The sequence below is a fragment of the Homo sapiens genome, chromosome X, assembly GCF_000001405.40.
Source record: "Homo sapiens chromosome X, GRCh38.p14 Primary Assembly".
NCBI lineage: Eukaryota > Metazoa > Chordata > Mammalia > Primates > Hominidae > Homo > Homo sapiens.
Window position 1 is genome coordinate 32137489 of NC_000023.11, and position 24032 is coordinate 32161520.

Consider the following 24032-nt stretch of genomic DNA (forward strand, 5'->3'; position numbering starts at 1 on the left):
AGTGAATGACTGATAAGGAGAACCTGGCCAGGCATTAACAGGGGATGGCCTTTCATTGAGTAAAAGATATTCCTTCCAGAGTAGAGCTGGTAAAGCCGAAGAGAACTGTATTCAAATGAAAGTATAGTTTTTTTTTTCAACTTTAATTTTGGACTAGGGAGTACCTATGCAGGATTGTTACATGGGTATGTTGCATGATGAAAAGCAAAGTTTTTGATTTCAGGTTTTTGGAGAAACAAGAGTGCCTCGGAGCTGTCCATGGTGCTGCATGAGACCAGGCCTTCATTCTGCAGAATTCCTGCCTCTTGAAAATTCTCTAGGCCCTGACTTACAACCCTGTTTGCTGTATGGTTAACCTGCCAACCCTGCTATGTCCCCTATAAGTGATTATTTAACATAATCTATAATTTCAGTACTAAATATTTCATGACTAATTATAACAGCTCTCTATGTTTCCCTGGGTGATATCACCACACATTCCAATTTGGCAGATCTCGGTGGGCCCAGGAATTTGTATGCAAATATACATCCTCATATAATTCTTATGAGGGACTAAAGTCCTGCTTAGACTCTAGTCTTCCCAAGGTCGCCCACCTTAATCCCGAGCCAACTCGTCCCCAGTTGGAGACAAGAGCAGAAATTTTGATTCCACAAAGCTGTTTGATTAGGCCTCACATACATCATCTGGAATCACACAACTGAAGCTTCATTTATGACACTGCTACAGTGTACCAATTCCTTTCCCTATATATTTTTTCTTTTTTTCAAATCCTATTTATCCTACTTCAAATCTCTATAGCACCATATTTAGAGTCATTCAGATCTTGATTTGAATCAATAACTACATTGAAACAACTCACTTAACCCTATATTCAAGCCTTCATGAATTCACCTGTCAAATGAAAAAAATAACACCTACAGCTTTGCAGAATTATTTTCAGGGTAATATGAGACATGGTTTCTAACTCAGCTAGCACATTATCTGATACACAGTTGCTCTACTTGCATGTGAGTTCTGTTCCCTTTCCTTCTCTAAATCTTTTTTAAATTCTTGCATCATTTATTACTTTATTTCATCTAATGAACTCTTGTTTCTATCATTTGTCTCATCAACTAGCTTTCCAGATCCTTGACTAATAAAGATAGATATTGCATACTAAGTGTGTGGTGGATGGTTGCCAAGACCTGCACAGAGCACTTTACATATCTTGGCCATGAGGACTCAAATATTGAGAGGCAGAGTTGGAATTCTGAATCTCAAGCTACAGCTCCTGTCATGCCATACTACAGTCTATTACCATTCCATTTCCTCCAACTGTGCCTAAGCTAAGTGCCTGGTATGTGGATTAACTGCTATCAGAGTCTTTTTTACTGTAATGGAGTAGATGCATTGTCTATATCCTATTTGCTGCATCCACATAATTATCAGTCCGTTCAAAAAGCATAGCCAATTGCTCTATCACTTAGTAAACGACTAACTTAGACCACTGGACGGAACTTTTTTTGGAAACCAAAAGAAAACAGCTCCTAAATTGCTGTACCTGCTCTCCTCAGATTATTATGTGCTGGAAAATCGGAGACGATTATTCATTCTCATACACTTCACATTTTCCAGAATGGAAAATTAAGTAGCAAAGGCAGATGTCCCCTGTTGGGGCAACGATTGAGCTGGATATAGAAGACTCATATCCTGTTTGCTAAACTGGGCTGTTCTTACTATTCTCAACATGTTCACATCATCATAATAAAACAAGCGCCCCTTAAGACACCATAAATATTACAATCTCAGTCAATATATTTATAGAGTCAGGAAGAGTTGGATATTCTCATATTCATCAACTGTAATTCATCAGGATTATTATAGTTAGGGAGGGAAACCCAAAGTTATGACACTGAAAGACATGATCAGTGAGTTTTAATAACTCAAAACATACTTGCTATATAACACAGGAATGGCTTTTGACACATTTGTCATTACTTTATAAAAATAATCCTTTAAGTTACTTTGTGGTGATGAAACACTTCTTTATCTTGATAGTGGTAGTAACTATATAAATCTATAGACATGGTTAATGTCATAGAATAACAGATAATGACTCACAGTAAAAGAGCATGTGCAAAAACAGGTGAAATCCAAGTAAGGTCTACAGTCTAGTTGATTGCACTGTGCCAATGTCAGTTTATTGGGTTTGGTAATATACTGTATTTGGTTAATATGTAACTGGGGAAAGTTGGGTTATGTATACACAGGAAATCTCTGTACTGTTTTTGCAACTCCTTGTGAGTCTATGAATATTTCACAATAAAAAAATCTTAAAACATTCTTAAAACTTTATAGAAATTTTGCCTGCCTTCAAAGAGACTGTAAGGGAAAATAGAGAAAGAAGAGAGAAAATTAAAATGTCTGGCTAATTCCTAATAGGAAGTTTTCTTTATTTTTATACAAGAAACGGAAAACATAGTTGCTATATCAACAGGATTTTAGTCTATTTTCTTCACAAAGCTGAAGAAGGTGTGAATGACTTTTCTCTGTGCAAGTGAATAATATACTAAAATTACTTGTTCCACCCTTGTTTTTGTCTTGTTTACATCCTACTTCCATAAACCTGCCAATATTTAGTCACTAATCTTAAGCTATGACAGAATTTAAAACAGATTCAATGATATGATTTGAATTCACCTTATGTAAGATATTGTAAAGCAATATGATGCCACAACACACATCTAGAAAACTGTGTCTTCTCTCAAATGGAACTGAGTTGTTCCTAAGATGTTTAACTAAAGTGATTAAATGGGCTGAATTATAACATATTGATTTTTAAATGGTCTAGCCACATTTGCATTGTTAATTTTTTACAAGATTGCACCATAGATATAAATCACTGACAAAATATTTTAAAAGTAGCATACAAAAATCGTCAACACTGGGATAAAATTTAACTTTCAAAATTAAAATAATCTTAGAAAATTCAGTTATCCAAAGGCATTAAGCAATGACTTTTCAAAGTTGATAAGGATATAGTTTCTATTGTGAAAGTCTATTAGACAAGTACTTTTCAAAATTATATAGGTTATTGTATTAGTCCGTTTTCATGCTGTGATAAAGACATACTTGAGACTGGGAAGAAAAAGTAGTTTAATTGAACTTATAGTTCCACATGACTGGGGAGGCCTCAGAATCATGGTGGGAGGTGAAAGGCACTTCTTACATGGAAGCAGAAGAGAAAATGTGGAGACGCAAGAGCAGAAACCCCTGATAAAACCAACAGATCTCGTGAGACTTATTCAGTACCATGAGAACAGTATGGGGGAAACCGCCCCCATGATTCAAATGACCTCCCACTGGATCCCTCCCACAACAAGTAGGAATTATGGGAGTAGAATTCAAGATGAGATTTGGGTGGGGACACAGCCAAACCATATCAGTTATTGAAGGAAAAATGGAAGCAAGGCATTTTCACCACCAAATTTTGCTCAAACAAGGCAGATATAACCTGCAGCTGCAGAACAATTAGGTTTATGTTTTTGAGAAGTTTATAGTTAAAAACATTTGATACATTGCTCTGCATGGTACATAGGAGTTTTGGTCACCTCATTGTTAAGCCCATTACTCCCTATGCAGTAACATTTAATATTTTTAAATGAATAAAAATAAGGTCAGGTGCAGTGGATCACACCTATAATCCCAACACTTTGGGAGGCTGAGTCGGGTGGATGACTTGAGGCTAGGAGTTCGAGACCAGCCTGGCCAACATGGTGAAACCCCGTCTCTACTAAAAATACAAAAAAAAAAAACAAATAGCCTGGCGTGGTTGTGGGCGCCTCTAATCCCAGCTGCTTGGGAGGCCGAGGCACAAGAATCACTTGAACCCGGGAGGTGGAGGTTGCAGTGAGCCGAGATCATACCACTGCACTTCAGCCTGGGTGACAGAGCGAGACTCCGTCTCAAAACAAAAACAAAAACAAAAACAAAAACAAAAACAAAAACAAAACACGTTAATTCTCTTCTAAATGGCCTCAGTGTGCTCTCTTTACTCAATGGCAATTAGTATGCACAACCCCAAACCTGCAATTTTTATTCTCCTTTGCTCTCTGTGCCTCCTAAAACATCTTATTCCTATTTTTAAAGAACTATTTTTAAAATTTTATTTATAAGAAAAAATCCAGAATTCAATATAATATAGAGTGCAACACACACACACACACACACACACACACACACACACACACACACACGATCTTGCATGGTTTCTCAAATAATAGACACTCATGTAGAAAGCCTTAATTTTAATTTAAAAATTAACACTCTGGAAGTTACACAAGAAATGATGGGCCTTGGGGCCTTTTGTGAAAATGGCAAGATAACAAGGCAGGACAAGAGAGATGGAGATAACAGACACAATGAATATGTATCAGATTTCGTTGATACGTTCATTCTTTTTTCTACAAATAGACATTGAGGGCTCACTATATCCCTTGCGCTGCTACACACGGGGGATATGCTGATGCAAACACTGGCAACATACCTTCCTTCATGGTGCTTACATCATAATTGCAGACTCAGACAAAAACAAGGCAGGAAACAGAAACAAGGAGCTGAGCTATAGAATAATGTTAGAGGATGGTGCAAGGGGGGTAGACAGCCCTCTCCAGGACTCTCCTTGGAGAGGATTACCTACCCAAAGCCCTGAGGCTATATAGAAGACACGATTGCAGAGGAGGATGTCTACTCCAGAGAGACACTCTGCAAATTGTATTAAAACTTCCCACATCAAGGGGGATTTGCTGACTCTCCTTTTGTTTGAATATTGTCAGAAGACTACATAGGAAATGGTCCATCCTTCCTCACCAACCTTTACGGCCCTTCCATCCTCTGAGAAAAAGAGAGGTTTTGACAAAGGGCTTTAAAGTTTCATTGTTTTACTTGCACTTGCTGAGTCCCCTTGGGGATTTTATCTACACTATCCATCTCACAGAAAAGTCGAGAGCATTAAGCAAAGTAACGGTTAAGAATATGCACTGAATATCATCCCTTCTTCATTAACACAGGACATTATAATTTTAAAACATCTGACTAAGTCCATGATAATATGGAACCATTCCTATCCTTCTCTGCACAAAGGAGGAGAAATATCTGTACAGTCTTTGAACTTAGTTAGATATGGGTCTGAATTTCAGATATTTTACTCCATGCTACGACCTTGCAAAGCTTACCTAAATTCTGAACCCCAATAAACTCATGGATACATTAAAGTAAAAGCTCTGTGCATGCTTGTTAGAATAGCACACTATACATTTACCAAATGGCAAAGTGCCTGGCATGGAGAATGATAGTTATAGTCATAAACACTAGCATCGTCATAATTGAAGAAATTACTGTCCATGGGATCTAGTCAATCATTGAGTATTCACTCAGCATTCAAGACTGATATTTTATCTGAATTCCACAAATCACCCTTCACTCAACACGGTTTTCTTATCATCATCCTTCAGGTAGAGCCCCTCCATCCTATCTCTGGATTTGCATACACTGTTTGGAATATCTTTACCATTTTCTTTTCATCAGATATCGACAACTTTTATAGGTCTACTAGATCATGAAATCAAGGGTTATGTTCATGTATTACTTGGTTTTTGTTCTGTCCTCAGCACCCACCACAAGGCCCTGTATTTTTAAAGGAGCTCAATATAAATATATTGAATGGAATTAAATGCCATTGCTAAAGTTTTCCTCCTCATGTTAATCTTTACCCGTGTAAAAGAAACTATCCTTTACCTAGTTACACAACTTCATAATAATTTATTACTCTGAATTTTCACAAGAACTTTTGACTTAACCACTCATTTAAAAAAAATCTGCAGATAATCCTGTAATATATTTCTCCAGCACAGTTCACCCTCATGAAGCAGGCAGTATTGAGCAAGAGGCTAGGCTCACTGGTTAGACAAGTAATTGACCCCTCACATTAAATCCATGCAATCTAAATAATGAACACTAATTGTATGCTGTAGGCTGCCAGGGTCTCTCGCTGTAGTTAAAAGTAAAAATACATTTTTTTTTTTTTTCTTTTTGAGATGGAGTCTCCCTCTGTCGCCCAGGCTGGAGTGCAGTGGCCTGACCTCTGCTCACTGCAAGCTCCGCCTCCCGGGTTCACGCCATTCTCCTGCCTTAACCTCCCGAGTAGCTGGGACCACAGGCGCCCGCCACCACGCATGGCTAATTTTTTTTTTTTTGTATTTTTTAGTAGAGACGAGGTTTCACCGTGTTAGCCAGGATGGTCTCGGTCTCCTGACCTCGTGATCCGCCCGCCTCGGCCTCCCAAAGTGCTGGGATTACAGGCGTGAGCCACCGTGCCCGGCCACAAATACATCTTTATATGTTTACTGTCTACTAGATACTGAAGACTGTCATTCACTAACTGGTCACTGTGTATAACTAAATCCTTGTATTTCAATGTGATTATGAGGCCCAAGAAAATATGTTTCGTTCTGGGTACCTAATAAACTCTTAAGACTTGCCCATCTCCCACAAACTGTAGGCAAATAATTCTTCTAATCTGCTTTTATTTCTTTATTAAGATAAAGCATTTGAGGTCACAATGTTCTATGGAAATCTAGAAATTCCTAAGGCAAAATCTAGGTGACACAATTATAGAAGATGCCGCAACTGATTTCCCTCAAGCACATTTCTGTTGCCATAGAATCATCTCAAATCTGCCAACTTTGAAGCTGAACTCCTCTCCATTCCACTCATATGGATTCTCACATGGGTTTTAGTAGAAAAATTTAAACTATTAGAACATGGACTGATTTTTCTCTGGATTATTAAATGAGAAGGGTCTGGATTCCCCATTACTTTTCTAATTAAAATAGTATCAAAAGCAAAGACAAACCAATCCTCAGCATGTATATTACAGAGAACCTGTTACAGAGACATTATCAAGGCCATATTTTTGGTAAAATTACTTAAAATCTGATTGAATAAAAGTTGCCTCTAATTCGTTTATATTAATAGCACTTTAAAGTAATACATACGGATACAACTTTAAAAAGTTGGGATTTATCTTATTATTATGTCCTGTTAAAATACGCTTATAAGGAAGACCAAAAAGAGTACACTGATGAGGATCTTTGAGAAAATTAAAAATGAAAACAATAATAAATAAAATTGTCATGGCTAAAAAGCATATTTAGTCTTCATGATGTTAAACTATTATGCAATTAGGCAAGGACATTCTTGTCTTTCAAAAATAAAATTCACGGGCTGGGCGCGGTGGCTCACGTCTGGAATTCCAGTGCTTTGGGAAGCTGAGGAGGGTGGATCACCTGAGGTCAGGAGTTCGAGACCAGCCTGGCCAACATGGTGAACCCCTGTCTCTACTAAAAATACAAAAAATTAGCCAGGCGTGGTGGTGCACATCTGTAATCCCAGCTACTAGGGAGGCTGAGGCAGGAGAATCGCTTGAACCTGGGTGGTAGAGGTTGTGGTGAGCCGAGATCGCACCATTGCACCCCAGCCTGGGCAACAAGAGTGAAACACCGTCTCAATGAATCAGTCAATCAATCAATCAAATTCACACTTTGAAATCTATTTTTTGAAAGTATATAATCATAAATGAAAACCAAACAAAACCCTCACTGGCTAAAACAACATGATGGAAACATAAAAGTGACAAAGTTTAAGACCCATGACACATGTATGTAAGTTATTTCAAAAGAGATCACTGTTAGAAATTTGCTGGAAGTGTTTTTGTTACTGTGAATAATAACACAATTTTTGTAATTTGCAATACATCATAGATAAGGCATATACACACATAAACATTGTGAATAGTGGTAACACATTCAGTTATTGGGGCTTTCACTATAATATGCCTGGGTGTGCCTCCAACGGATGCTAAATTTAGTGCATTTGAAGTCTCTTGGAAAAAAACAGTCCCAAGGAGTTTGAAAGGGAAGGTGTTTTAAGTTCAGCACAGCATGCTCCTTGCAGCAGCAAATGTGTCTGAAAGCTTCTTGCTCTGTTGCACTGTGAGAGAACTATATTAAAATGTGTTAATAGTAGAAAGAATAAGTTCACCTCAAATACTATATTTCCTTGATTTTTGAGACAACAGTGATTTCCTGTATGTTAAAAATTATAGAGAGCAAAATACAGCCATTTCACGCTAATTTATTATCTCCATGTGAATGTGCATTTACATTTTAGATAATATATAGATTACTTGTGAATTATAAGCCTTAAAATGAATTCAAACATGTCAGTAGGAAGAAGCTACCATATTACAGATTCTTGAAAATCACAAATTGAAATTACCTAATGATATGATTATAATTTAATACTAGTATCAAAGGTATTTTTCCTATTATTTTATTTTACTAATTACTGTAAACTATCGGTAGGATTATAGGAGCAAGACGTCAAGATATTTATTAACCATACTAATTTTTTATTGGAAGCCATATTAAATTTAACCTGTAAAATGAGAAAAATAAAAATAGTAACCTCATAGATTGTGGTAAGAGTCAAATGAAATAACTTACATGAAATTGCTTTGTAAGTTTTATAGGGCTGCCATGTTTTGATTGTATGATACTATGTATCCCTACTGTTTAGGACATCTCTTCCTGTTTAGGACATCTCTTTCATATGTGCAGAGACCTGTGTTTACTGCTTTTTTTATTCACAATGTGGTCTTTTGTTACCATAAGTTAATGAAAACATTTTTCAGTCTTGTAATTTATAAAATGTTAGTGTTATTAACAACTATACATAGATGATAGAGATAGATAGATGATAGATAAACCGATCCATCGATAGATAGATAAGTAAAGGAGAGTGACAGAGACAGGGAGAGGGAGAGGGAAAGGGAAAGGGATGGTGGGAGAGAGAGAAGTAACTGAGTGGATGGATGGGTAGATGAATAAGTGGATGGATGGATGGAAGGAGACAGGTAGACAGCCAGATGGGTATATATGGATAGATAGCGTATGATCTTTGTCCTATTATTTAACTTCCCTTGCTTCAATTTTAGAAGATATAAAATAGGATAACAAGAGTACCTATCTTATAGGATTGCTATGAGCATTAAGGTAGTTAAGCCTGACACATACTAAGAGCTCAGCAAGTGTTAAGTATTTTTCACTGTAGTTGGTATTTGGCTCTTAAAGAATCTGTCACATATTTCTATACAGTTTTTAAATTCATAGATTAGATGTAGCCTAATAATGAGAGCAATCATCCATTAAGCACCCTCTATGTGTCTAAACGCAGATGTTTTACATACCGTAAGTCATATAACATGAGAATAAACCTTTAAGACACTTACTGCTCTCCCCATTTTACAGATGAGACAACCAAGACTTAAAGTATTGCCCAAGGTCTTAGAGTTGGTAACTTGCAAAGGCAAGAACAATGACCACAAAACCAGAACAACTGACAGCAGAGTATCTGTTCCAGCTCCAATAATTACTGGCTACATCAGTTCTGTGGGTCCCTTCATGATGGTACCTATACCTCTAGAGTTTAAAAATAAATTATCGTTTAATTTTTGCATAAACTCTATGATGTAAGTCAATAATAATTCCTCTTCTTTCTTAACTCACTAGCATACTGTAATAAACATCCATATACCCACCATGCAGATCCCAGCAATTATAAACTCAAGGGCCCATATGGTTTCATCTACATCCCACCAAGCGCAACCCACCCCTAAACCTAGCTTTGTATTATTTTGCAAGTGACCTAAGTGATCCTTCTTTTGCTGCTTGGAATACCAAGTTAATGAGTTATTTCATGTGAGATAGCTAATAAATCACAAAGCTGTTGCTTGAGAATAGGTGTCCCAATATTGCTGTGTTTCATTTTCATTCTATGATAGGTAGCGTTTTTATGATATATGTCATTGGCAGCAAAAAATTATATACTTTACTGATTGACATATGACTTCTGGTGAACGCTTAAAATACTTGATTTTGTTTTTATATACATATGTATGTATGTATAAGCAAAGATCATCCCATATTCCTATTAAATAGATAAGTTGATATTTGACAAATACACTGACTTTAGAAAAAATATGAAATCAAATATAAAATAATACAGCTGTGTACGGTACATTGTGATGTTAACATAAAAGAAGTAGTGAACAGGAATTTGTGTATGTGTGTATTTTTGTATGTCATATATGTTTGTTAGCATAGAAAAAGCAGCCAGAAAGTTACACACCAAAATGTTAATTCTGGTTTCCAACTGGCACTTAGATTTTCTAGTATGCTTAGGTTTTCATATTAGCATACTGATAAGAAAGGTATCCTTGAGTCTTACTGTTTGGGTCTGAATTCCCATTTTGCCATTTTCTAACTGTATACACTCAAAAAAATTTCTTCTTTTTTTTTTTTTTTTTTGAGATGGAGTCTCGCTCTGTCACCCAGGCTGGAGTGCAGTGGCGCGATCTCGGCTCACTGCAACCTCCACCTCCCGGGTTCACGCCATTCTCCTGCCTCAGCCTCCCGAGTAGCTGGGACTACAGGCACCCACTACCACGCCAGGCTAATTTTTTATATTTTTAGTAGAGACGGGGTTTCACCGTGTTCGCCAGGATGGTCTCGATCTCCTGACCTCGTGATCAGCCCGCCTCGGCCTCCCAAAGTGCTGGGATTACAGGCGTGAGCCACCGCACCCGGCCAAAAAATTTCTTATTTATACCTCTACTTCCTCATTTCTCATATAGAAGTAATAGTGCCATCTACCTTACTATTTAGAAGACTCAATTAATCCATGTAAGTTACTTAGACCTGTCATTTTAGATATTATTATGACTACATCAGAAGATATTATGTTAGTAATAAGAAAAACATTGTTAAAGAATTTGAAAATAAGGAGAATAAGATTTGTTAAGGTATTTTGAAAATTAATTTTAAATTGTTGTTTTGTTAGTTAGTAGGGTCTTAAAATCCTTCATATCACCTCCAATAAGCTTCTGAGAAATAAATAAATATAAGACTCTACATATCCCATTTCAGGGATGACTTACAGAGGGACTTAATAAAAATGCAGAATAAACTATTGTTTTTGTTTTGTTTTGTTTTACCAGAATATCTCCCCTTTGATTAAAAAAAAAAAGATTATTGTAAAAGATGATGCTCTAAGTCTGCTTTACACTGGCAGGCCATAGACATTCATAAATAAATTCCTACAAAATGAAATAGGAATTAATCCTTGTACAAATACTATAGCTAACTAAGTACAGTTTCTAGAAGTATATTTTGAAATGAAATTTATGTATATCACTGGTGATAACTTGTACTCATTTAAATGCTTCTGAAGCATTCTCTTCAGAAGTTAATAACTTTTCTAAAATAAGTCAAATCATGCAATTTGACGAATATAAATTGCAGCAATTTTACCATTGCTAAAATGGTTTCCGAGCATTACAAGAAGAGTTCACTTGGCTACTGTCTTTACACTGAATACTTTGATGAGGTTACAATAATAAAGTGACAAAGTGATATGCATTTTCTTTTATACCATTTTCTTTAAAAAAAGGAGTCCTTAATTTTTTCTAAGAACTCCAAAATATGAAAGTAGAAAAAGGCAGCTATGACTGAATACATTTCAAGAAAAATGTCATTCATCTTTCTTAAATTGATCTGCTGAGTCCAGCAGAAATGTCTCCAAGGTTTTCTCGTGACGAGCCAAGGCTAAAGGGATACACGGAGCCAGCAGTTAGAGGCATCTAGTGGGGCACCGGTTAATTAACTTTTTCTTCTATGCTTCAAGTTTCAATGCCTATACCAATACCTTTTGTTCTTTGCATAGGATATTATGCACCGAAAATGAAACAATACTCATAAAAACAGCTAATATTTAATGAGCATGAGTAATTGCCAATTGTGATTCTCAACACTTGGCATATATCATTTCATTCGTTTTTAAGTCTACTCTATGAGATAAGTAGCATTATTGTGCTGATTTTACAGATGCAAAACTGTGGCCCAGAGAGGTCAATAGAATTTCAGGTGTACAGATATAAAATATTCATGAACCATAATATCCTAACTATGGTATAAATATAATATGCCATAAAATAGGCACGTGGTAAGTGTTTGCTGACTAAAGATTGAAGAATGTGTTGTAATGGAGTCTATTAATTAAAGACAGGGAATTTGGACCCAGAAAGATTTGGCTTGGTCTTATATTGGCCATCTACTAAGACAGTTTGGAAACTTTATCAATAAAGTTTCTATTTTAGAGAATATCTTAGTTTGGGTTCCCTAAATGGAGGTTCTGAGATGAAGCTTCATGCAAAAATGATCTAATGGGATGTGTTTTCAAGAAACACTGGTAAGGGAAAATGAAGTGAGATTGGGAAGGGAAACAGACCAAACACATATATGGCATAAAAGCCCAGGGTGGCAGTGCCATTCACACTTCTGAATTTCTCAGTTGGGAACAAGAAAGCTCACGTATTTATGTGTCTGCAACCAGCAGTCATTGATTAAGGGCTTCCCACACACAGGGACATAAATTCCAGGATAGATCCATCTCTCTCTTTACACAGACCAAATAGGCTCTGGCAGCCTCAAGGCCACCCTCCAACAGAGCGATTAGGGAGCTAGTTGTTGGGAGTAAAAGCACAGCAGGGAAAATGTTAAACGGATGTGAAAGGATATGAGTGGATCAATGACAGCATCTCTACAGAGAACTTGTTTCTTCATTCAGGAATAAAAATAACGTGGAAAGTTATGAGGATAAAACAGGGTAATGTGTTCAAAGCCCTTAGCCTGGGCACTGGCACACAGCAACACTCACTGGCACTCTCTTGTTGTGAGGATGGAATGTAATACTGTGAAGAACTGACAGCACCTGGCACATGAAAACATCAGATAGCTGGCATTGCCAATCATTTTTCCTATTGCAGTTGCCGGTGCCGCTGGTGGTGGCATACCTAAATTAGAATAACACTGCTATATTTAACTCCAAAGTCTGTAAAATGCTTGAATACCTGCCACCGTCTGTGGAGGTGAGGGTGCTCGTTCAGGACCTGAACACCATAGAAGAAGCAATTTTCTCACCATCTTTATTGCTACCATGGTATTAGGTAAGAACCTCAGGATGCAAGAACAAAAGGCAGCACCTTTTTTGCTATCACATATGAGATGCTGAATTTATTGATAACAGTATTAAGGAGAATGGCAGCTGAAAGGAAATTTCTGATATTTCTTTCATGATCCTCCCAGATTTTGACATTCCTTTCAAAATTATTAGTGAGAGCAATCAGTAAGTGTCTTCTGCTACCAAAAATGTGAGCCCTTGCTTGAAACATCTTTAGGTAAGTAAAGTCAGCCCCTAGGAAAGCACTTAAGCAAAAGGCTAGGGAAAGAGAGCTATATCAGGTCCAAACTACCGTGCTGCTACTCCTCACTCTTGGAAGAAAATTTAGGCCTTTGCAATGAAAATTAATGGAGAAGCACATGACACCTAAATGTTAATATTAAGGGAGGGGATAGGGAGAATATGATATATTTCTCTATGTGACTCCATCCTGTTTCATTTGTTCTAGTGAGTACATATTACTATTATACTTTGTGTGTAAGATAAAAGAAAGTTTAAAAAAAGAAAAATTGAAGTTATTTTAGAACAGATCAAACTGCTTATGAGAGGCTTACTACCTTTTAAAATATTATTTTGATTAAACTAAAAATAAATTCTTAAAAACCCAGCCAAGGTAAGAAAAGAAAATAGTTTTCCTTCTCATGCTCTCAAACTAAGAGTATACATAAATTGGCTAAGAAACGGATAGGATGACTCCCCTTTTTCCAGGGACAAGAGTGGGTTTAGGAGATAATCCAGTTCTCTAGTTATATACTTGTTTAAAAACCAGATGAGGAGATCACTTCCTCACCCGTCTTTTGCCTCTGGAGGCAAAAGGTATGGTCAGAGTTCAGTGACAAAGTGACAATCATCAAGGGAGTTTAGTCAGCTGAGGTTATGTTTCTCTAGGCATTCTTATACAGTCAGACCATGAAACAAGACTACTGCTTCCAGGAAATGCCACAATACCTCCTTATTATTTACATTTCTGGAAGCAAAGGCAGCAGAATTTAGCCACTGGAGTCCTCTCCACTGTCTTCTCTAGTACAGGTAGTTCCTGAACATTACTCCAAATCTACAGAGACCCTTATTGACAGATATTACAGAGATACTCACCAACATGCCAGCGAAACATGGTTTATTGTTTTTTGTTTTTTATTGGCTATTGTAGTTTTACTTATCCTCATCTATTTTATTAGGGTCTTGTTGAGTCTTCACTATCGTGAGCACCTCAGTATTCCTTGTCTCCAGAAAGAAAATGTCTTGAGGTTAGAAATTGTATGTAATTAATTAATTTTCTCTTCCATCTTAAAAAAGATGGCTGTTAATTCTATACTGACATAGTATCTAATAACTGCTTCTTTATATCTTGGAGATTTTCCCTGGCATATTCAAATAAATAGCTGTTTAAATAGCCCTGACCTGTGAGTATATATGCCCTTGTACACATGAATGTATATGTAAATATGCAAAGATACAAAATGATAAATACAAAGTGAAAGGCAAATTGTTAATATATTTTAACTCATTCAACAGAAGAAAGAAGGCAGGATAACTTCCTCTATAATTTCAGGTTTTCTTCAGGATGCATACCACATATGGGCTACATTACAATGTTCCCTCCAGGTAGCAAATATGTTCAATTTTAAAGTAGACAACTGTCGGAAATTGATTTTTTAAAGATGGGGGGTGGGCGTTGAGTAAATCTATTATGCTTGTATATTGCAAATGCTGTAACTATTATTTTTTTAAAAGACTTGACTTTCACTAACAACAAATTTTCTTCTTTATATGAATATACTGATCTCCCATCGGATCATAGTGTTGGACAGTTCCTAATGTACCTTGAGATAAGAGATGCTCAAGGGTTTCATTAGATTTTTAGAGAGAGTAAAAGCCAGGCTGAAAATGTTCCTGGATTCTATATTTGTCTCTTCACTTATCTTTTTAATAACACTCACACACAGACACATTTTTATACTCAACTTCAAATAAAAGTATGCCCTGCCCTTTCTTTTGCTGATAATAAATATGTGGATGGTATAGTCTCCAGAGAGCGAAAGTGCCCTTAAACATTTGTTTTAAGATCATAAAAACTACTGTTATTTTTAAAGTAGAAAAATCCATGAATATTGAAATTGTAAAATCAAGGGAAAAGAAAATAGTTTTAAATATTTTGGGCAAAATCTTCTTAAGAAAAAGAATGTCCTATTTCCAATGACTCTGGCACGTTTAAACATAGGAAAGAATTAGAAAAACAATTTTAGTATATTTTGGACCCTTTAAAATTTAAGTAAAACATTAAGATGTATTTTATACCTTTACTTTGAATATGTGATAATTCTCCTTTACTCCATAGAATACAAAAACTCTGCAAATATCATTATCTTAAAAATGTATTTGTATATATGTGTTAAATTGAATCTTTCTAATGAGGAAAGTTAACGTTCACTCTCAGGTTGTTCTTATCAGATGAGTTTGTAGTTGTATTATGAAGAAACAACACATTCCTTACTGACGTCTCTATTAGCTTAGTTATTTCAGTTGAGAACAAGGGAAAACATAAGAATGGTATTATTGGAGTGTATTGCTATACATTTTATTCACATCACAGTATTTTATATTTCTCTTTTTTTAAGTTTGTACACAGACAATATCTCTGGAATTATTTTTATTAAGGGATATTTAATGATTAAATAAGCACTCTTAGCGAAGACCTTTAAGTGTTATTTTTTACCAAATCGTATATAGCTTCCACATACAATGCAAACATTCCAGTACTGCAGATAATATACAGGGGTACACAGGTTTGAAGTAGTGGAGAGACTGATGGACCATAAGCCATAAATCTTTTTAAAAAAATCACCAAAATCTCAGCTATAATCTTGATCATACAAAATAAAAAGAGGAGCTCTAAAGAAATAAAGCAAAAAAAAAAATTTATAATCCACATTACTGCAATCATCTAGTTTGTGAAAGAAGAGTATGTATTTTAAATTAAATCCTTAATGATTTGATATTTTGTTTTTGGAACTTCACAACCAAGACTATCCTAAGGAATTCAGAGCTTTCCTCACAAGACCAAAGCAACAGTGCATGAAATTGAACTCAAAAAGAGCCACCATTCTGTGTGACTTCTTGGCTGACACAATTTAGATATTTATAGCTTTACGAATGGGCCACTGGAGAAGAACTTGAAGCTTTCTCTAGCCAGGAAGGATTAATGAACGTGCGCACCTGGTAATTACACCACTCCATCTTCCTGAAAGCCCTCACGCTGCCTCCATGGCAGAAACTATAATGAAAATGCATTGAAAAATATCAATCTGCAATTCTACAATTAAATCTAAATAATAAAACTTGGTATCTTTTCTCCCCACACATTCCAGATGTGATAAAACACAGACAGCATTTAAATTTAAAACATAGAAGCTGAATGTCAGCCTATTTTTGAACATGCCTCATTTCCAAAGTAAACCTCACAAGAGAAAAAAGAGGTTATTAAATACAGCAAAAAATAACAACATTCAAATGTGCAACAGAGAACCCATAACTGTTTTCCCTTTATTAAAACACAGCATACACCATAAGTGATGCATTTACTTCAAAGCAGAGGCATTTCAATGATTAAATCACAACCGAAGTGTACAAAGGTAAAATTTAGAAGTGCAAAGGTATCTTTATCTTCCAAGTCCAGTTACTTGTTCTGGCTATTTTTTCTAAACTCTTACTGAAAGGAAAACCTCACTTAATAACTTTTAAAAATATAAATAAAAAATAAATCATTATCTTCTTTACATAACCGTATGTTAATTGCAAAATTACTTGAACTAAAGAGATATACGATGACATAGTATGCAACTCAAATAACTTGTTACAAAGAAATTTTCATCCTAAAACTTGAACAAATCAAACTTTTTGCAGTAGTATTTTTCTCAGATAAAACACAGTATAGAGGTTCAACCTAGTGTTTCTTAATGTGACACAAAGCAATTTGATATTCCAAGGAAGGCAGCTATGTATATATAAACTGAGAAGGCTGCTTTCAGAAAACAATCAAGGTTCTCTAAGCAAAGCAGGGTTTTATGATAAAGTTTCATGGTACTCACACTGAATTTTAATGACTGCTTTAGTAAAGCAGAAAGAGAGAAAATTTAATGTAAGCACTGATACTAAAAGTTAATTGCCGTCTTAACACACAGGCGCCAAGATTCCCCTAGCAGGAGTCTCTTAAAAAACACCTTTAAACGCAGAAGAGGGCACAAGCTTTGAAAAAAAAAAAAAATTGCCTGTTACTGTTAAACTCTATTGTTCCCTGATGGAGTATAGAAGAAAGAAATGCTCCAGGAGAGGGAAGTGGATATGAATTGCCCCCTCCAGAGGAGCCAAACAAATTGGCTGTAGGAAGACTTCAAAAGCTGGACGAACAGAGAAGCTCAAAGACCTTACAGATTTGGGCTACTTGCCCTTGCTGTGTTTTTTTTTTTTTTTTAATTTCCCCTAGAATGAATATGGTTTAACTTGAGAGCAAATAATGGAAGGATGCATTTTTAAATGCTTTGATTCCCAGCTTTTTATTCTGCCTCTAACTAGCTATTACAATACCACTTAATCCGGACCTCAGCATTCCAAGTACCAAAGCATCTCCTCCCACCCACTGCTCACACGCTCCTGCATCAGAATAGAAGACTTACAGAAAAGCTGCCAGACCCACAGAAGAGCACTTTCCTCTCAACAGATGTCTTCCAGCTTTTAGGCACACACACACTCAGACACACTTGCCTACCTTAATAAGGTGTGCAAAAACCTCTTTCGGTCCCCACGGATGCTTTTAGTTCAGAGCAGCCAGCAATGCCTCCGCACAAAGCTTTGCCATTGCTAGTGTGAAGAGAAAGAGCTGCTGGGATGCTGAATGGCACATCAGCCAACTTTGTGTGTAGCAAAGGCTCTAAAGAAATCCTGGGCTGAAACTCTGCTGGATCATGGATTGGACTCAATTTCACTCCACACACAGTCTGCATTACCTGATGGAGATTATTTCTGGAAGCACTTAGGGCATGTTTGTCTACAAAAAGATAGGGCCTTTTTCTTTCCTTAACAATTTAAAAAATACGGTAACAAACCAGAGACCTGATACTTTAAGGAAGATCATTTATTGTGAGCTCCATGAGGGCCTCAATGGTCTGTTTCGAAATTGCAGCCCCAGCATCTAGAACACAGTCAGCACTTGATAAATATTTGGCTAAATATTAAATGCTCAATTGATATCAGGTTCAAATTAGAATTTGCTAAATTATTTACACACTGTAATGAAAGTAAAAAATGCAAGGTTTGCTGAACAGCTCCAGAGGGTTAATAAGAGTGTGTGTGTGTATCCTTTTGTCATTCAACACACACACACACACACACACACACACACACACACACACACACCTGTATAGCTGATGATAAATATACATTATATCAATGAGTTAAAATAAAGTGTGCTATTCATTCACTGAGCAATGGGGCTATTGCCTGGGCACGGTGGCTCACGCCTGTAAACCCAGCACTTTGGGAGGCTGAGGCAGATGGATCACAAGGTCAAGAGATCGAGACTGTCCTGGCCAACATGGTGAAAACCCGTCTCTACTAAAAATACAAAAATTAGATGGGCATGGTGACGCACACCTGTAATCTCAGCTACTCGGGAGGCTGAGGTAGGAGAATCTTTTGAACCCGGGAGGCAGTGGTTGCAGTGAGCCGAGATTGCACCACTGCACTCCAGCCTGGCGACAGAGCGAGACTTCGTCTCAAAAAAATAAATAAATTTGTAAAAAAAGATTTAAGCAAACCCACTGATAACAATACTTAGAAAGTTTGTTGAAAACCGTATGTATTATTTGCTTATTGCCCTGACAATTTCTAATATCATAATAGTTCATTATAATAGCCCATTCCTCAGTGAATGAATAGCACACTTCATTTGAACTCATTGATACAATGTATATTTATCATCAGCTGTACAGGTGTGTGTGTATACGTATACTTTTGAATGACAAAAGGATACACACACACACACACACACACACACACACACACACGCACGCAATTATTAACCTTCTGGAGCTGTTCACCAAGCCTTGCATTAAACCTGGATTGAATAAAAGACTCCCATTCCTCAAGGAAATTTTACTTCTTCTATGAGGACTTCTCAGTAACCCTAAATTCACAGGCATATTCTTTACATGTTACTGTCCCAAAGCAAAATGCAAGCTGGCATGGAACCAAGCCCAGAGGTTAATTCCTGAAGCTAGAGGAAAAGGTTCCAAAGTGCCCTACATCCCAAGGTCGCCCAACAGATCCACACCTGGAAGCAATCTCCGCCAAGCGCCTATTTACAGGCACAGGTGTGTGCCTATCGGGACAGCTGAGGAACACACCTAATTTGATAGATGACATTCTGATGTGGCAGGCTTTATTGTGCTGTTTATGACAATATCTGCAGATTATGATGTGCTTGTTTAATAAACAGCGTAATTAAGCACACACAAAACAAAACAGGAAGTTAATACCTAAGTGGTGCTGACGTGTTTATGTACCACAACTGACTAGTGTATTCTTTACTGCCTATTACTCCACTTCTTAATATCCACTGAAGGAATCCTCAGTCTGTATACACACATCTCCAAGTTATGAACATCAACTTCATGCATATCCTCAGAAAGACCTACTTACACCTGCAGCCTCACCACATATATCTACACCCTTAACAGGCATTCAATAAATACTTGTCAAATGATCAGATAAATGATAAATGAAGGAGAAACATACCAATATTTATATCTTCAAGATTGCTCCTATGGGCATATAATTTTACAGGAGTTGCTACTTGGATTGTCTATCTTTTCAGTCTACATTTTTTCTCTAAAATATAATTGGCAGTTGCCTTATGGATAGATTAAATTTGATAGAGCCTGGTACTTGAGGTGCTATTTCAGCACCATTTCTGTAATTCTGGAACTAGTTATCAGGCTTGGCAGATGCAAATGTATGCAGTTTTGATCTTCTTCCCGACTCTCTAACTGCAGATTTTACAACTGAAGAAAGCAAGGGGAACTTTTATTTATAAATAATCGATACAATTTGTAAATAGAAATCCTTTCCCTCTGAGCAGCTCACAGCCAGCCAGCTCTCAGATGAAGGTACGTCAGCTCTCTCTTGACTAATGGTGTGGTCTGCATCATGGAGGTTACCAGACATTCCTTGGCAGAATGCAAATCAAACATCTTGAATGGCAAAAGGATCAAAGCACGGCATCTAAACATTGCTCAGACCTGCTGTTCATATTTTTATGCATCAGAAAACTTGAAAGAGAAATTAGAATTGAAAGATAATGCACCTGCACCTTCCAAAGTGTATAATATTGAGATTTTTAGCATATTTGTCCCTCTGGGATTAGTATATTTTATTCCATTGTAGGGCAGCAGCTGAACAGGGGTTTGTGGAGGCAGAAGACTTGAGAGCCTCTTGGCTCAACTACCTGTAAGCTGTTTGACCTTGTACAAGTCATTTAAACTTTCTGGCTTCAACTTCCACATCCATAAGTGGAATTAATAATACCTCATCAAGTGATGAGAATGGAATAGATATTAAAGCACTGCTCCTCAAAATTTAATGTGATACAAGCCAGGTGTGGTGGCTCACATCTGTGATCCCAGCTACTTAGGAGGCTGAGGTGGGAGGATCATTTGAGCTCAGGAGTTTGTGACCAGACTCGGCAAAATAGCAAGACCCCATCTCAAAAACAAATAAAGAAAAATGCATCGAAAGTAAAGAAAAAAGAAAAAAATAATAATTGAATACAAATGACCTTAAAAAAAGCAGAGTTTAATTCATTGGACCTGCGGTGGTGCCTGAGAGTCTCCATTTCCAATAAGCTCCCAAGTGGTACTGCTGCTCTGTGGACCCCACTGTGTGTAGCAAATATCAGTGGAAAACACTGTTATTCTTCCAAATGATAGTGAATTTGTGTCCTATTGCCATTTTTATTTGGTGCATGTTTTCCCTCAGTATCTACCCAACCGTCAATTACTAGATGCTTGTCTACGGCAGGTGATGTGCAGGACATAGATATTTTAAAGTTTACAAAGACATTGCCCTGTCCTCAGGAAGCTTTCAATCTATGTGAGAATGAAGATCACTTACCACTACAAACAGTTTGGACATGGAGGACCAAAGCTACCTACCCCTTATGCTCACATAGCTGGCTGTCGACATTAACATGGTTTACCTTTCCATTGTCTTCATTAGCATAACTTTCCTATTACAGATAACTCTTGGCCAGGCAAATAATTTGACTGTTCACTAAAGTAACTTCCCCAAACTCCCATCAACTCTTCAACAAAAAACATCAATAGAGTTCACACCTTAATAGTCTCTGAGCCTCTTGGCTAGAAATCTTCACTGTGCTGTTTCCACCAAACTAAGTTGTAATACCATGATCCTTACCCAATCCTAATTGTGCCCCCACAGTGAAAGACCAATCTTAAACCAAGCTTCATACTCCCAATGAAATCCAACCTCACCTTTCTCCTTATGAAATACTACCAAAGCTTTGTCCAGGCTGTGGTCTTTCTTACCATAGTAAGCAATAAATTTAACTTTGTCTTATCAACAGGTTGTATTGGTGATGTTTAGGGAGCTGAAATTTCCCATATGGAAGAAATAGACATGGGAATCAAACGTATGTTACAAGGAGATAAGCAGTGGTGCCAAGGGGTGGATTAAAAGACTCTAGCTCCTTTTTTGTCATAACAAATAAACATCCAATTTAATTATAATCAGTACATTTTTTCTCTGCAAACTTAGTTTAACAACAAGTCCCCTATTCTCCTCTTATTTACTCACCCAGGCATTTGGATGTTATCACTGGTGCCATCATTGATTGTGATAAAATATTTGATAAGTTTTATGTCCTCAATGCTTCATTAACAGTATAATACATGAGAGTGACATTAACCAAGATTAAGGGAGAAGGGGAAATCTTTTGGTGGTTGTGATGTCAAACCTAAAACTACATGGAGGCCCAGAATTAGGGAAAATTCAGCATCCAGACAGACAATGTAAGATCACGGTATTTTCAGGGAAAAACATGAACCGGAGCAAAAGCTCAAAATGGGGAAAGAGCGAGAGAGAAACTAAGGGTCTAAACAGTCTTTTATGTCAAGTTAAGTGGCTTATGTCTTTGCTACCCAAAGTATGGTCTGCAGGCCAAAATCATTGCTATAACCCTGAGCACTTGCTAGAAATGCAGAATCTCAGACAATACCCCAGACCTACTGAATCAGCATCAGTTAATTAAGAAAATCCCCAGGTGATTCTGATGCACATCAAAGTTTGAGAAGCACTATTCAAAATAATATGCTGGAGGCTACGGGAAGCTACTGAAGGATTTTAAGAAGGGAAGTGACATAATTGAATTTGCATTTTAGAAAAAAAATTACTCTGTGTCCATTCATTCCTTCAGGATATATATGCCAAGCATTGACCTTAGAGCTGGAAATTCAGCACTATTTTGAGTGGATTAGCTGAAACTCCCTATTCAGTATTCATTCAATGAACATTTATTGCATTCCAACTTTGGTTTTTTTTTTTTTTGTTTGCGTGTTTGTTTTTTGCTTTTTTGAAGACAGGGTCTCACTCTGTCATGTGGGCTGGAGTGCAGTGGCATGATCCCGGCTCACTGCAACCTCTGCCTCCCGAGTTCAAGTGATTCTCGTGCCTCAGGCTCCTGAGTAGCTGGGATTACAAGCATGCACCACAAAAGCCAGCTAATTTTTGTATTTTTAGTAGAGATGGGGGTTTTACCACGTTGGCCAGGCTGGTCTCGAACTCCTGACCTCAGGTGATCCGCCTGCCTCAGCATCCCAAAGTGCTGAGATTACAGGCATGAACCACCATGCCCCACCTGCTTGCAAACTTTCATTTGACTTTTCCAAAAGCTTGATTTGGAAATAATCCCACACTGATGGCTATGTTTTTAATGGAGTCAACCTTTGTTGTCCAGGACAAATAACTGTTAAGAATCTTCTAGCATACTGTACTCAAAGTCCTTAGCACTATCAGGCTGTTGGCTCAAACATGAAAGGTTTTTTTGATGTAGTTTTGTAGAATTGTTATTGCAATGGTATTTGCTGTATTGGAATTTGACCCACAGTACAAGTTATAGTACAAGATACCAATCAATATTGTTTTTTGTTAATGAACAACATAAGATGTACAGCTTGCCAAATCTAAACTTTAATATTAGAGATTATAGGATCAGTACCATTTTTTGCTAACCTATGCAGAGGATTGTCCTTTGGTGACTGAAAAGGAAAACAATAAATTCCTACTTATGTGGAGTCTCTGTCTTTTTAATAATAGTCAGTGTCTTATTGGAACTCACAAAGACTTGGTGTGAAGAGCTCTGACAAGCTAGTTAGCCTATTTTATGCTTGTTTTATTCTTGCTTCCTATATGCAAACATAGTGAAGGACAGCGGGCAATGAGCTCGCACTTCTATTTTAGCGATTCTGGGTTACTCGGGCTGCCTCTAATCTACCAAGCCAGGATTATTATAAGGAAAATAACCAATGTAGCTAAAGATAAAGTCATCACTTCCCTAACTCAATTCCTTTGTAGCTGCAGGAACACTAAATTTCATTCAGAATTCTAACTCCCAAAAAGCTGGGTAATCTAAGACCCTTAATGGTTTTCTTATAGCCTCATAGGGTTTGGCAGGTGCCCTGGACATCTGGCAGATTCCCTGAGAGAACAAAAACTCAGAAGCTACCAAAGATTGAAATACTCCCTTCAATACCCACCAACTAGGGGAGCTTATACAAGACCGTGGGTTTCTTTCTACTTTGTTCTTTTATTTACATAATAGCAATGATAATATCTTTGTTGTAGA

General features: G+C 37.0%; 1 protein-coding gene across 21 annotated transcripts in view, besides 1 other annotated feature; it reads right to left on the reverse strand.

The window, feature by feature from the left end:
* DMD (dystrophin) overlaps positions 1-24032 on the reverse strand; it is a 2220167-nt gene that overhangs the window by 1018267 nt on the left and 1177868 nt on the right. For 5 of the 21 annotated variants that reach the window (NM_004023.3, NM_004020.4, NM_004022.3 and 2 more), the window contains exon 1: positions 17883-17981. The gene's annotated coding sequence lies outside the window, so the exon portion shown is untranslated. 21 annotated transcript variants of the gene reach the window in all.
* Positions 171-371: a silencer, noted in NCBI's record as "peak7374 fragment used in MPRA reporter construct". NCBI's record gives its function as "represses an SCP1 promoter by STARR-seq MPRAs in K562 erythroleukemia cells {active_cell/tissue: K562}" and the evidence as "EXISTENCE:reporter gene assay evidence [ECO:0000049][PMID:32103011]".